General features: G+C 44.9%; 1 protein-coding gene and 1 long non-coding RNA gene across 8 annotated transcripts in view, besides 2 other annotated features; one reads left to right on the top strand and one right to left on the bottom strand.

Moving 5' to 3' along the window:
• Positions 1 to 15,361, bottom strand: part of MIR4713HG (MIR4713 host gene) — a 256,425-nt gene that overhangs the window by 4,565 nt on the left and 236,499 nt on the right. Inside the window, exon 2 of the long non-coding RNA NR_146310.1 lies at positions 11,298 to 11,365. This is a non-coding gene — a long non-coding RNA (MIR4713 host gene). The remainder of the gene's footprint in view (positions 1 to 11,297; positions 11,366 to 15,361) is intronic.
• CYP19A1 (cytochrome P450 family 19 subfamily A member 1) overlaps positions 1 to 15,361 on the top strand; it is a 130,540-nt gene that overhangs the window by 49,249 nt on the left and 65,930 nt on the right. Inside the window, exon 1 of one of the 7 annotated variants that reach the window (NM_001347250.2) lies at positions 1,010 to 1,098. The exons of 4 other annotated variants lie outside the window; for them this stretch is intronic. The gene's annotated coding sequence lies outside the window, so the exon portion shown is untranslated. Of the gene's footprint in view, positions 1 to 1,009; positions 1,099 to 7,085; positions 7,187 to 11,187; positions 11,341 to 15,361 lie in introns of those variants that run through there. 2 more of the 7 variants (NM_001347251.2, NM_001347252.2) reach the window with 2 other exon arrangements.
• Positions 6,787 to 7,166: a promoter, noted in NCBI's record as "-299 to +81 promoter". NCBI's record gives the evidence for it as "EXISTENCE:reporter gene assay evidence [ECO:0000049][PMID:12351690]".
• Positions 6,887 to 6,906: a protein binding site, noted in NCBI's record as "GATA (-196/-191) site". NCBI's record gives its function as "important for promoter activity" and the evidence as "EXISTENCE:protein binding evidence [ECO:0000024][PMID:12351690]".

Here is a 15,361-nt window from a genome sequence, read left to right as displayed (position 1 = left end):
CCCAGTCAACTTGCTTATCCCAGGCCCCCTTTTCCCAAATTTATGATTTGAAAATGAATTATTTTAAAATGTCTCTGGAATCTTGAGTACAGTCTAACAAGGCATTTGAAATGTAAAGATTTATGTATTTAGGAAAGCATGAGGTAAATTACCTTCATTGAAATATATACATAGAGAGAGTACCACAGGGAGTAGGATTGTCTCAAACAATTCCACATGTCTGCTTCTCAGGGACCTGTACCCACCACCCTGTCCTTCCACAAAGAATGTAACTAACCAAAAACCCTAGTTCTGTAGCAATGACCGCATTTGAGAACGACCCCACACCCCGCACTTAGTTCACCATCATTTCTCTTGGCACTGCAAGAAGGAGGTCAGAATGCAGTTATGTTGCGGGGAGGTCACTGCCACATTGCAGATCTTTTGCTCATAATGAAGCTTGGCAAGTTAGGCTGGGAGACGGCAGGGCTGTCTCATCGGTGTTGGTTTAGTCGCTATGGGTGGGGCCGGCTGGGAGGGCAAAGGGCACAGCCATCCCCCATGCAATTCTGTAATGGACAGTAGGATATGGGGGAAGGGTGTCTCACCAGAGGAGCAAGGCAGAGCCCAGATCACAGCTGTCATGCCTGAGAACAGTCTGCGTTTAACAAGGAGCAGGCTTGTGGGGCCAGAAGGTCAGATCTGGACTCTGATTTTTAGGAAAAAGCAAGGATGGGAGAGTGAGTGGGGACAAGAACAAAGGAGGAGGCTGAGAGGAGAGTTTCTCTGTAGTGGGCCACAGGAGCATGCCAAAGGGTGAGAGGATGGAGCACTTACCAGACTGCTTATCTGAAATGAGGAAACTCCCTTAGATAAAGCAGGAACGCGGTGGTGAAACCTGAGGTGCAAGACTCCAGGTTTCAGGAACCCCCAAAGGGTGTGGGATGGTGGAGAAGCTGTGACTCAAGTAGCAGCTGTGGAACACTAGTGGCCAACCCAGGGGTGGACTATGGGGGGTGGGCGGTGAGTTGCTTTGGACAGTGGGCAGAGCGGTGGCAGCTTGAACAAGAATTCCTGTCTCCAGATTGGGCTGGGAGTATGGCAGGATTGAGCACACAGGTAACTCAGCTGTCAGGACCTGATGAGGGCCAGGGATGGTAGGGGCTGGGGACAGGAGGCAAAGGGTAAGTGGTTTCATTCATTCAAAAATCACTGCACAACTGCTGAGCGCTACCAACACCAGCAGGCCAGGGATAGGAAGATGAGTAAGACATGGTCCTTACTCTTGAGAGGTTTGTGATTGCTGTAGGAGATCTAGACTGGGGAAAATAGAGACTCCAGTGCCTTAAGAAATTTAGTCAAACTCATGGTGCTTTGAAAGTATTAGACAAAAGCAGCTCTCTATTCTCATATTTTACTCCAGTAATACTCTTTAGCTTATGCATATCAGATTTATTTACCCATTGATTTTTCCACTGAGGCATTGAGCTTTTGAACATTCCACCTTCAACTCAGCTGTAAGATGCACATAGACTTTAGTTGCCAATAAAATTGGCTGGCAACCTGGGACTGCTTCAGGTCAGACACCAAGGAGGTGGTACTTCTGTTCCATTTTATAGTGTTAGCCCCAGACCATTGAAGAAAACCAGGACTCAGTTGAATAATTACTTTGGGGGTCTTAACTGAACAACTGGTTGGAGGGCATGAGGGAAGGTGAGGGCATTTGAGGGTAGGATGGAGACCTGGCCAGGGCAGAGGGAGGGGGAAAGGTGTTTGGGCCCAGGAGACAAAGCCTGCATGGGAGAGGCTGCCTTCTGCACAGCAGCGATACCAATGTCTGAGCTGTGGCTGCCCAGGAGTGCTGACGAGGCCCACACAGCTTCAGAAGTGGCACTTGTAGCATGTGAGACAGCCTGGTGTGAAGAAGCCCCAAATTCAAGTGGGCTCTGTTTCCGGGCCAATTCCAAGCAGACCTGCCTGATATGCCAGAGAACACAGGTATCAAGGTTCGCATTGCGTTAGTAATGCCTGTGGGAGACAATAGGGTGAACCCCGCAGCAATGTTTAGCTTTCTTCTCCCTTGACTGAGGAGCCTCGGTTGTTTTTTCTTAAAGGATATATTTTCCACTGTTTTGACTGGGCTTGTCCAGGGGTGCTGGGAAGAACAAGATAGGCAAGAAGGGAAGGACTAATAAATTTTCTTGCTCATTCCTAAAGTCCTATTTTTAGATTAGATTTTTAGATCTTGAGCTCATCACTATGTGCACTAGCTGTCATTGGATAAGTCATGTCCAGGTGGGACACCTGGTGGCGGCTCCACTCTTGCCAACCCTGCCCTCTATTGATGCCACCCACCTCACAGATGAATGTGCTGGGTAGGTTCAGCCAAAAGCTCTTTCTTTTAGAATCAGCCTCAGCAAGACTAGAGTGACCTCCTGTCCCCTCTAGAGGCCATCTAGAGGTATATTCTGAATCTGCTGTGGCTCACTTCTCTCAAGATCTCCTGGGTCAGGGGTCAACTTCTCACCTGTACTTCAGCCAATGTATCCTCCTATGCTTGGGTCCCTGCCTTTTATTTCTTTATGGGTGATTTTCATCTGATTGCCTTGCTGCACAGGTACAAAGCAACAGATCTGCAGAATGAAAACAGCTGGGGAACCCTGAGTGGGGTGAGAGTAGAATGGAGGAGGTGGTGGTATCTTCTTAAGGGGGTACTCATGGTGGAAGGGTCTTCGTTTTTCTTGGGGAGGATTCCCTTTGTGCTGTCCAAGGAGACTTCCTTACACCATGGGCTTTGGACATGCTTGGTAGTCAGGGCACACTTGGCTTTGAAATGCAACGAGCTAAGTGGAATAAGCACTTTGTACCATACTGGCTGATGGTACCATACTGTGGGTCAGATAGGAATCAACCTTCCAGGGGAAAAGAACAAACAAACGAAACAGACAAACAAGTGCCTGAAGACAGAAATTTAATTGAGTGCTTCCTGGCTTTTATTTTAGCCCCCCTCATCTAAAGATGTGCATCTGTCCCAGATTTGAGCTATGATGTGTGGAGAGGTAGAAGAGAGAATATTTATATGCAAATAAGAGGTGTTGACCAGAACTCTGGGGATTTGGGTGAGGAAGGAAGCCAGGTTTTCTGTGGCAGGGGTAAAAAGAGAGAGCAAGGGAGAGAAGGGGCGATCCAGCAGGAGAGAGGAGTAGAGTTGTTATAGATGACTTCTCCTGGAGAGTTGGATCAGGCCCATTGCGGGTGAGAGGGCAAATCTTTCCCAAGAACCCAAGTGGTAGAATGGGTCTGGCCTTCCCTTTAGGTGGTTATTGGAGAACTGGTGGGTATGCATGTGGAGACGCAGATGCCTGACAAAGCTGGTGCCGTCTGGATGGGGGGCAAGTAAGGTGTTTAGGAGTGAGACTGTGGTGACTGGTACCAAAAAAAGAATGTTGGGGTGATCAGATCCAACACCAGGCCTTGGTGGTGACGAAGTCTGGCGGAGTCAAAGGAATGAGAAAACACAGTTTGAGAGAGAAAACGGATCAAGTGGGCTAACGCAAGTATGGAGGCTGTGAAGGCCCTGAGCTCTGGAAGCCCAGACTATTTATTGGCGATCAAACAGGTGGTGAGAATGTGGGGGTCGAAAGGGCAAGTGCATGATCTACAGCTGTGAAAGTTTAGCATTTCCTTTGAAGCATATGGAATATATTCTCCTACTTGAGATAATGGGGAGCATGTTTTTCCAGTTTAAGCTAGAAGCAAGGAGCCAGCAAGTCTAGACCCATTCCAGAGGCCACGAGGGGTTTTATGCGCCGAGCCCTGGACATTATGTCAGACATGCAAACCCTGCCTCAGCTTTTTTCCCAACACTCAGCTTTTTCCCAACATTTTCCCCTTCTCTTTTTTGTAAAACCGCCACAGCTATCATTATTACTAGCATAAAAGGTGGCCTCTTTTTGTTTTTAAATTAATTGAGCAAGGCAATTGCAGGCTGTGCAGCCTTTGATTGCCAGTTGGTGATCCAACTTCATTGTTCTTAGCCCTTATTCAAAATGGAGTCGCTCTGGTTTGAATGCTTCCCACGTATCTCCCCTTTCCCTTTTACAAGAGGACCCTTAATCCTAGGGGTTTCAGGATGAAGGTCCATGCTGAATGGGGGCAATGATACTCCTGCCTAACTATTAGGGTCTCTTGTATTCAGGGTAGAGAGGCACTCAGTCAGAAAGCATTGGTCCGTTAAGCATCTGTAGGTAAAACCCTGGCGCTCCAGCAGTTTCTCAGCTTCCTGTGCGGTTTTCTTGATCTGTCCCCATGTTATGGGGATTGCACCCACACGGTTCGTTCATCTCCATGAGGTAGAACTTTCCACTGATAATGAGAAACAGGCCCCTTCTAATAGAAGGCACAGAGAAAGCAAATGGAGGCTTCTCAAACCTTCAATTTGCACTGTACAGGTGGGTCCGCTAGATGCTGTGGCTCATGATAGATCTTCAGATGTTTGGTGGGCACCCACACAGGCACCTGATTGTCACCTGGAGAGACACAAGCAAATCTTCTTCCCCATATAATTATCTTTCCTTTTTCCCAGCTCTTTGTATGTGCATTCCTCCACCATGTATCTTGTCCAGCCTTTTTATTTTCCTTTTGTCCTGTTAGGTGTTGTTTCACTGCAGTTATGGGTTGATCTTTTTGTAAATTTAAAAATTTTAATGTTAATAAAGCTAAATGCAATTACATATGCAGTGTCTTATATTCCTGGTCCTTCTCCAAGTCGATATCCCATATTTCTCATCATTTGTCTACTATTATTACTATATTGATCCATAGGAATAGATATTTCAGCATCCCATTGTTGCAATAAGTCTCTTCCCCATAAATTGACAGGAATAGGTGTAATAATAGACTGAATTGTCCCTTCCTGGCCATCCAGTCCTTGACATGGTAAAATCAAGGAACTGTGAAAAACCTCTGAGGCGGTTCCTACGCCAATGATACCCATGGAAGCCTTTTGTTTGGGCCAGTGTCGGGGTCATTGATTTAGAGCAATAATAGAGACATCAGCTCCAGTATCTACTAGTCCTTCAAAATCCTTTCCCTAAATAGTCACTATGCAAATAGGTCTTTTGTCAGACACTTGATTAACCCAATATACAGCCTTTCCTGCAGGATTAGTACTACCAAAGTCGCCTGTTCTTTCACTGTGCTGCTTCCTAGTTTTGTTTAGGGTAGCAGCAGCAACTGAGCAATTCTTTCTCCTGGGGAGGCAGACCACAGAGTTGAGGAACTAATAACTAATTGAATTTCTCTGGTATAATCAGAGTCAATTATTCCTGTATGCACAGCAACACCTTTCAAATTTAGACTAGACCTTCCAAGTAATAGACCAACTGTTCCTGAGGGTAAGCGTCCTCTAACTCCCGTAGGGACCTTTTTTGGCAGCTCCCCAGGAAACAGGGAGATGGTAATTGTGCTGCAAAGGTCTATGGCAACACTGCCTGCTGTGGCAGGGGACAATTGTTGTACGCTTGTGAGGGCACTGGCTGTGCCGGGTATGCCTCGGTTTGTTGAGGGGCCTGAGGTGGGCCACTCTTCCCATTTCCTGAAAGAGGTTGTCCATCTTTAGAACGACACTGATTTGCCCAGTGATTGCCTTTTTTACAATGGGGGCATACACCAGGGCTTTTCTGTTGATTGACGGTAGTAGTTCTTGCCTTTTGATTTCCTTTTCTACATTCCTTTTTTGTGTCCAAATTGCCGACAATTGGAACAAGAGCCTGAGAAATGGGGCATATTCTTTCCTACTCTTAATCCAGCCATAGCCTGAGCTGAAAGAGTAGCCTTATGTAAGTTACCTCCAATGCCATCGCAAGCCTTAACGTATTCAGAGTAATGGCTTGCTTGAATTCCTTCCCTCCTTGCTGGATTATAGTAATGGGAAATTGCCATACTTCAAGGTCTCCCTCGGCTCTAGCTTTTTGAATAGAATTTTGTATAGCACCACCAATTGCTCCAGGTTTTAATGTTGCAACTACAGGAGTGGTGTTTTTCAGCTAATTCATTTTCTCGCCCATTAATGGGAGAGAGAAGAGGTGGCCATTCACTTAATTCAGCAGGTGGAGCCAACGGGCTAGTAAAACATACTTCTTTCAGTTTCCCTTTCTTTAATTTCCTCCGGTTTCTGTTCCTCACATTCAGAATCTGAAATTAGTTCTTTACACTCGTCCTCCTCTTCCTCATCTGAATCTACCTCATCATCTGTTTGAAATGGCTCAAAAGCTGCCTTTATTATCACTCACATTGACCAAAAAAAACTGGAATTTTTGCTCCATCTTTATACGCCTTTTTAAAATCTCTGCCAATTATCTCCCATTCATCCAACTCCATAGTCCCTTGTTCCAGGAACCATGGGCAAAACTCCTTTACCGTACTAAAGAGTGATAACAAATTCTGAGTACTAACTTTCACCCCCACTCTTCATAATAAATGCCTTAAGAAACTTAAATAAGCAGAATATTTGCTTTCACTTTGTCCTGTTGTTACCCTGGTTCTTCCGAGCCCTCAGCTTTCCCACCAAGCTTCCTTTAGTCATCCTTGGGTGTCCTTTGACAATGCATCCCCTGCTTTCACATGCTCTAGTGTTCCTTCACCAGGGCCTTTGTCGCCCCACGTTGGGCAGCCAGGAATGTTGGGGTGATCAGATCCAACACCAGGCCTTGGGGCAACGAAGTCTGGCAGAGTCAAAGGAAAGAGAAAAGACAGTTTGAGAGAGAAAGTGGGTCCAGGTGGCCAACGCAAGTATGGAGGCTGTGAAGGCCCTGAGCTCTGGAAGCCCAGACTATTTATTGGTGGTCAAACAAAGAAACAGGTGGTGAGAATGTGTGGGTCAAAAGGGCAAGCACATGATCTACAGCTGTGATAGTTTAGCATTTCCTTTGAAGCATATGGAACATATTCTGCTACTTGAGATAATAGGGAGCATGTTCTTCCAGTTTAAGCTAGAAGCAAGGAGCCAGCAAGTCTAGACTCATTCCAGAGGCCACGAGGGGTTTTATGCACTGAGCCCTGGACATTATGTCAGACATGCAAGCCCTGCCTCAGCTTTTTTTCCCAACACTCAGCTTTTTCCCAACAAGAAGATGAAGTGTTGTATCTTAGGGGCTCCATCTACAAGGATGAAGTAAGACCGGAGAAAGGGGTGAAATCAGCAAGGGTAACTATCATCATGTGTCTGGAGGTCTGCTGCTCCTTTACTCCAGCCTCTCTGTCTCAGTTCTTCTCATTCCAGAGGTCCCTGTGGACTGTGACAAGGATTTTTCAGAATTCAGAGAGGGAACCAACAAGGGGCAAGCTTGGTTTATTTCTCTTTATTTGGTTTATTCTCATTATTATTTTTCTTGCCTTTTCTACCTCTAATTCCTTCTTAGCCCTTCCCTTTCTGCTTCCATTTCTATCCCAAAATATGAGCCACAAAGAGAAATTTGGGGAATTAGAAGGAAGAGACTTAAGGGAAAATGTATATGTCATTGGTGTATGTGTCAGTTTTCAGTCATAACTTGGGTTGGGGGAAGTCAGTGTACCCTTTACTCTTGCTGAGGAAATTTCTTCTGAGCCTTAGCCACATCCCACTTGCCCAGGGCATCATTCTTTTCTTTTTTTTTTCTGGCATATATCTCTACTTCAGATTCAAACTTGGCCATTACCTCTGGCCAGCCAAGCAGCTGTCCCCTGAGAGGGGGGCCAACTCTCCTGCCCCTCACTGCCTGCCTCCCAAGGCTGCCCTAGGGCTCAGCTGAAGAAGGCGGTTGTGCTTTGCTGCCCCCTGTTGCTCAAGTCCTGCTTTTCCATAGGAGCTGCCGGGCTGTATGTCTGGATGTGACTTCTCCAGGCAGGTCCTCCTCTCCTGCCCGCAGTGCTCTGGCTCCTCAGGGTAGGTTTCTGTCCAGGACATGGCCCCTGAAAGGGCTTGGAAAAAGCCCCCTTGCGTAGTACTGGCTGAGCTTCTACTTGCTGCCCCAGGAACCTCCAGAGAGTGACCCAAACATCTGGTATAGCCTCTAATCTTACCTAGTCAGTCATGTTTCTCTTCAGGCCTCTTCTAAGAACAGTTTCCTGGAGAAACAGAATAGAGTTGTGGTCACTACACTGGAGTCTTCCTGGGGTAGGAGTGGGTCCTTTCTAAAGTAGAAGGGGCTGTGTAGCAAGGGGGCTGTGTGAGCATTTCTAGAAATGTTGTCTGCTGAATTTTCCACTGGGAAAGAGCAAGTCCTGGCGGAGTTAGCAGCAGCTGGGCAGTAGGCAATAGATAGCATCAGGGTCTCTGGATGCTCAGTGGGGGTGGCATCAGGGAACACTGGTTTCCCCAGTAACGGGCGCCTGGGCCTGCAGTGGCAGTCAATTCCACAGAGGATGCCCCGGAGCTTGGCATCTCTCACTGTGCTGTCTTCCCATTCCTGAGACTGGAATATGGAGCTCATGTGGGCTGGGCAGCTTCCCAGCAGTGGTTGGTCAGGATGTGAGAGTGCTGTGGTCCAGGTACCTGTGGACAAGTGACCTGCCACACTGCAAGACCCAAAATGACACTGGACTACATTCGTTGACACAGTTACAGCTGTACCAAAATTTTTTTTCCAAGGTTCAAGTTGGAACATTTGTAAGCCAAGCCCTCATGGGTCCAAGCCTATTTTCTTCACCACACCACACTGAGTGAGGGCAGTGGCTCATTACAGACCACAGTATCTCCCCACCTCCACCCATGTAGATGAGAACCTGGAGCCTGCCAAGGACTAGTGTCCAGAATGGTGCCCAAGTCACCTCCTGATAGGTAGGAAGTGGCCAAAATGAGGTGTAGGACCTCATGTCCTAGAGGTCAAAGCTAAGAGTCCAAGGCAAATGGCCACAAGGCAGAAAGAGCCAAACCAGAGCCCCCCTAAAATGGGGAGACCAGGATGGATAGATAAGAAGAAGGGCAGGCTTTGGCTGGGCGTGGTGGCTCACACCTGTAATCCCAGCCCTTTGGGAGGCCAAGGGGGGTGGATCACGAGGTCAGGAGATCAAGACCATCCTGGCTAAGACTGTGAAACCCCGTCTCTACTAAAAAATACAAAAAAAATTAGCCGGGCATGGTGGCGGGCGCCTGTAGTCCCAGCTACTCTGGAGGCGGAGGCAGAGGTTGCAGTGAGCCGAGATCGTGCCACTGCACTCCAGCCTGGGCGACAGAGCGAGACTCCGTCTCAAAAAAAAAAAAAAAAAAAAAAGAAGGGCAGGCTTTTAGTTTTAGATCTAAGTCCAAAGTACAAATGTGAGCAGAGCGGGCTCTTATGGAGGGAGCCAGTCACATGGGGTCTAGGATGGAGTAACAGTTCAACCCCCTTAGACCCATCCCTTCTCTCTCTGTTTCTCCTTTGACTTCGAAGTTAACAAAAACATTTAATCGCATTCTAAATGCAAAAGCCCCATGCAAACACTTGGAATTGGGAAAAGAGGAGAATACAACAGTTTCTGCCCTCAAGGAACATAAAGTGAGTTCACAGCCTCTTTCTCTTTCAGCCTCCTCTTTTCTCTCTCATTCCTTCACCTAGCAGGTGCTAGGCAGCAACTGTATACCCAGACATTATTATTTCTCTTGCCTTTTCCACCTTTAATTCCCTATTAGCCCTTTCTGCTTCCATTTCTATCCCAAAATATAAGCCACAAAGAGAAATTTGGGGAATTAGAAGGAAGAGACTTTAAGGGAAATGTATATGTCATCGGTGCATGTGTCAGTTTTCACTCATAGCTTGGTTTGGGGGAAGTCAGTGTTTTTTTCCTCTTGCTGAGGAAATTTCTTCTGAGCCTTAGCCACATCCCACTTGCCCAGGTCTTCATTCTTTTCTTTTTTTCTGGCATATATCTCTACTTCAAATTCAAGTTGGTTGTGGGTCTTCCACCTACTTTGTAGATGGAGATGTGGGGGTTGATGCCAATCTGACAGTGACCAGCACTACAGAGTGGAATGGGAACCTTCTCATCTTCCTGCTGGGCTCCCATCCCAGCCCCCAGGCCTCACCTTGCCTCTCCTGCGCAGTGGGGTTCATTCCAGGATGCCCTCCCAATAAAGCTGAGGGCATGAAGGCTTCTTGAATGGCAAGCACTTTGGAGGCTAGGAAGGGAACAAATCTTTAAATCACTAGGTACTCTTTTTACTTCTCATCTTGCTTTTAATCCAAGTCTTTGGTCTCTTACTTGCTTGCTTTCTTCTCACCCAGGACAGAGTCACAGAGACCTTGAAGAATGGAGGAGGTAGAAAAAGGAGAAATGCAGGAAGGAGGTGTGTTATGGAGTTATCCAGTGGAGGCTCGCATCCAGCTTTATTTTGCCTCCAAAGATCTTGCATCCTACCTGTTAAGAAGCTTGGAATGCCACTATTCCATTAAATCTTAAAGGAACTTGAGTCTTTCATTTAAAAATGTGTTCCTAAAATGTAAATGTCCCTATGTGGGACAGTATTTAGCCGACAGTAAATTTGAGAGGAGGGTCTCAAGGGGCAGTGTCACCAGGAAAAGAGAGAAAGGCTCCTCTCCCCAAGTCAAACCTTACCTTACTTAACCGATTGTATTTCCTCCCTCAGAGGATGCCATATCTCAGTACAGGAGAGAAAATAGAAGGTAGAGAGACTTTTACCCAAGCACCCCCTGAACCCCAGGTGTACACAACTGAACCTGATGCAGTGACAATCACGTTCACACATAAAACATCTGGCTAAAGGCTAAGATCACTTCGGATTTCCGACATACATTTTCCTAAGCAGTGCATTTTTCTTTAATTTTCCTTAGAAAAAGACTGTAAAGTAGCCCCACAATTCCCACATCTTCATACTCCACCCTGCATTCAAGTTTTCCTGGGACAGGTATCTATGTGTGTGCATGAATCTATTTTTACGGCATATGTCTAGGACCCCCTACGAGGAGCCAAAGTTTCAGAGAGCCCAGCAACTATGTAACTCCATGGAAGGGAGGCATGATATTACTCTCTGTTCACAGGAGCGTACGCACAGATCTTTTCTCCTCCTCATGGTCAGTTTTCTATTTGTGATTAGTAATTAGCTTCTCTTGGTACGCTACGATCTATTACAAAAGCCAAACATTCAGGGGGCGAGCTGAAATGACAAAATTTGGCTATAATTTATGTTGGCCCCTGACATATATATTTTTTTAATGGTTTGGTCTCTAAGCAACTGATCTCTTAGCAACAAGAAGCACCTTTATAAAAGATGGCACACGAAGAGTGATTGCCAGAAAAGCCACCTGGTTCTTAAACAGCCGCGCATCATTAGCAAAACTCACCATCTTCAAGAGTCCAAAAACTAGAAGTGACCAGCAGACCCAGGTAACCTTGATATTTGCACATTTTCCTGGGGAAAAAAAAAAAAAAAAAAAAAACTCATGCAACTATTGAAGAGAACAAAATTCTTTGAAATATGTTCATTTTTGAGGTCTTATTAGTTGGTCTTGACTAACTTTTAATAATAGTATGTATTCTTTTAAATAACTGCTTTTTGATTTTTTTAAAAAAACGTGATATTTGTGATCAGAAAACAGTTCACTTGAAATATTTCATTGGCATGAGAATGGAAGGAGGGGAACAATCTATCTGTTTCAGAATTTATTTCTGTAGGTTTTCATTTGATGGGAAAAAAATCCACATCATGGCAAAAATAGGAGTATACAGAATGTCACCCAAGTGGTGTGCACTATTAGGGAAATACGCGTATTTATTTTCTAATTTATTTTCATACTGCTTAAATATTTAAAGAGTAGCAAAATAATTTTACTTTCAAACTTTAGCTTTTTAATCCAATGTCAATTCCAGTAGAAAGTGATAGTCTTTTGTTGCAAGTGTTCAAGGACTGGTTTTTTCATTTGCTTTCATTGCCGTAAGAAAAGATTCGTTCCAAAACTAAAAATAGGAAAAATTACAGGCATCTGTACCTTGTTTGCTTTTTTCAGGTACCCAGGGATTGAAGACTTAAATGTCTTTCCAGAAAATTGGAATTAGAAATGAGAATTGTTACTTCATCTGTACTCCTTCAATAAAGATTGCGTAATTATAAACCCACTTGGGGCACTCAAAGGGCATAAAAAAGGAGATATTTTATGGGGATGAAATAAAAATCCTCCTAATTGAGCTTGGAAACAGTGTTACACAGAGATACTGCAGATCTAAGAAAACAGACTAGAAAATTGCAGTTTCAATAAAGACAAGTTGAAATAGTGACACATAGTTTTATTTTTTATAAGAACTGCTTGTACCACTTTCTCTCTTTTTCTTTCTTTATTTCTTTTTTCTTTCTTTCTCTTTCTCTCTCTCTCTTTTTTTTTGTGCCCTTTCAGAGGTGCAAATACCTCTTTAAATTGAACTGTATGCTGACATTCTCTTGGAACCAGAAAATGGGATGCTTTGTCTGAATACAAAGCTTGGTAATGGGTCAGGGCATTCAAAACCAACACAATCCCACAAATTTTGGGACTTACAGTTGCTCCTCTAAGCAAAGGCACCTCAATAGCACATTATGATTACGTTTGATTTTAAAAGCTGCTTATGACTTGTATTTCTGTTACTGCTACCGACTTCAGGCAGGAAGAATTCATTTTTGTGGAGACTTTGCTTGAAGTTAGAAAGTTGGGTGTTTTAGATTGAATTGCAGAAATTTTTTAAAGCAATGCACTATGAAATCACAGAGAAGCATATAGGTTTGTCCTTCAGAACTAAAATTGTATGTACTTGCAGTGTGGTAATTACTGTAGAAATGGTTTGTGGCTTTAAAGTTAAGGAACTTGCATAAATAATTACAAGATGTAACTTGTGTTTGCTATGTCTGGATATGTTTTCAGTTTTAACTGTACTGTAGTTTCCTAAAATATGAAGGGTAGTTAACATGAAAGCAAAGGTATGGTAACATTTATATTGCAAGTGGCAGCTAAGTTTTTGCAGTGGTTCTTTGGGACTTTGCAAATCGAGTCACTGTGTCTTTCGAGTTCATGTGTTCTGAGTTTTATCTATACATGAGGAAACAAGGGGGTCAGTGGGCCTGTAGAGCTTGTCATTTTGGCTGGCATAATGAGCCATCTGACGAAGATGGACAAACTCCTGCAAGATGTGAGATAGACTATGAAATACTCTGATTAGACTGGCTGCTATAGACTAAGCCAAATCATTCTGCTGTGTTAGGATTAGTTATTTCTGAGACACGCACTTACATTCACACACATGCCTGCATATAAATGGTCTCAATATAAATCTGGAAATCAAAACAAGCCTCTCTATCAGTGAGAGCTTCCTAGGAAAAAGGATAGTTTTAATTTTGTGAAGGACAGTTTCCATCATAATCTTCATTTAGCGTCTAAAAGTCCTAGACAAACTTGACGGCCCTTTTCCTTCAAACCTCAGGCTGGAATCTGGTGTGGGGCTGGCCGGGGGGACACAGCAGCTAGCAGGCACACTGTCAAGCAGTCCTGCTGTAGGGGCGATCTATGTTACAAATGAATCCATTTACTTTGGACACTTTACTACCTGAACGGAAACAATCAGGCAGGAACTTGTTCAATAACTACATGGTTGGCCTTTCAGCAGAATTTTTGAACTCTTATAAATAAACCATACTTGGGATAATTTAGTCTTTCTCTGGTGAGAAGGAAACAAGAAAAAAAAATGTGAGCAGTCACTCTTGAGTTAGGTGCTTGACGAGGACTGGGCAATTTACAACGTGCAGTTTTGCTTAACCTTTACAGCAACTGTCCAGAAGTCTCCGTGTCCCCATTTCACACATGCCTAAGCCAGATCCAGCAGTTTGCCAGATGTTACCTAAACAGTAAATGGCAAAGTTGGGATTTCAACCCAGGACAGTCTGACTCCCAAGCCTGTGCATTTTCCTTGTGTCAGAATGGCACAAGTAGCAATTTAAAACTGACACTAAATAATCCCTCTGGTCTTAGTAAAGCAAAAGCTCTGAGTAGGGCTGGAGGTGAAGATTTAGGCATCTTTTCACAGAAGAGACTCCTTAACCACTGGTTCTGTTGGGTGGAGTGACTCAGGTCCTGTGTTTTCAAGGCTGCCATTGGCTATGAGCCAGAGGTGGGTGCTCATTTAGGCTGTGGCCGTGGTGGCCACAGGCCATGGCACCATTTCTTGCCATGATGCACATCCCAAGTGAAGTGGGGTAGGACTCTTTGAGGTTCCCTTTCTGTGTGAACAGTTCTGAGAACAGGGCTTCCTGGATGTCCCCTCCCACCCTGACACGGGCCACAACAGTTAGGGACTGCACAAGCAGAGTGGAAGCCAAACCACAAGCGGAGCGGAAGCCAAATCCAGAATGGGCCAAGTGACATGTCACCAAGTTAAGGTGAAGGAGGGAGAGCCCAGGTGTGGCTGGGGCAGGCCTGAGAGTGGGGGTGAGATGACAATAGAGAAAGCAGAGCTTTCTCCCCAGCGTTGCAGGATTTCGGTATGCTGTCCCCTCTGGCTTATGGTGTTGCCCCTTCTTTCTTCTTCAAATACCCCTGACAAAGGGATCAATCTTAGAGAGTTTATTAAAAAAAAATCTTCTTCTAAATAGTATTTGGGCAGGAGATGATGTATACAGGAGCGAGGGCCAGGGAGGCTGTAGCCAGTCCTAGAATAAACACTCTGTGCATCTCTATTTCTTGTGATCCTTCCATCACTCAGACACCTGGAGCATCGTGCCTAAAGCCAGACAGTTCATGTAGGTGGGATTTAAACTCAAGTCTTTTGGCTAGAAACACTGTGGCTCTTTCATACAACTGGGAAATATGATGGTATTTGTAGGCAGATACAGATTCTGAGGTGGTCTGCCTTGCATTTGGCATGACCATCAAGTGAATACGAAGAGAGCTCTTCACCTGTTACACTTCAGTTCATCCTCAGAGGAGGGAATAACGCTCCCAAGAGGCATAAGAGGCAACCTCCCATTTCTTTTTCCATTCCCTCCCCACTCAGGGATATCTATGGGTAATTCCTCTAGTCATGAGTCAGAGGGCTGATGGGCAGCTCAGGAAGTCTGAAAAGAATGCCCAGTAATAGGTTCAATTTTTGTACAAAAATCGGTAATAATCCTTGTGCAAGTAATCTTCATGCCTCTACTTCCCTAGGGTCCTTGTCTCCAAACAGACATGTTCACCCTGCTTGAGTTCTTGCCTGGTGTGTGGTACTATTGATGTATATGGCTGGCACATTGACACCACACACCTGCCGTGGACAGCACGTGCCCAGTCCCACTCTCTACCTGGTGCAAAGGAAGTCTCCTTTTATCTGGCAATTCTGGGTAGAAGAAGAGGGCCACTTATGTCTTTTGTGTGTGTGTGTGTGTGTGTGTGACAAAATTTCACTCTGT

The sequence above is a fragment of the Homo sapiens genome, chromosome 15, assembly GCF_000001405.40.
Source record: "Homo sapiens chromosome 15, GRCh38.p14 Primary Assembly".
Lineage (NCBI taxonomy): Eukaryota > Metazoa > Chordata > Mammalia > Primates > Hominidae > Homo > Homo sapiens.
The sequence above is the reverse complement of the archived record's forward strand: the minus strand, read 5'-3'. Positions and strand labels throughout refer to the sequence as shown.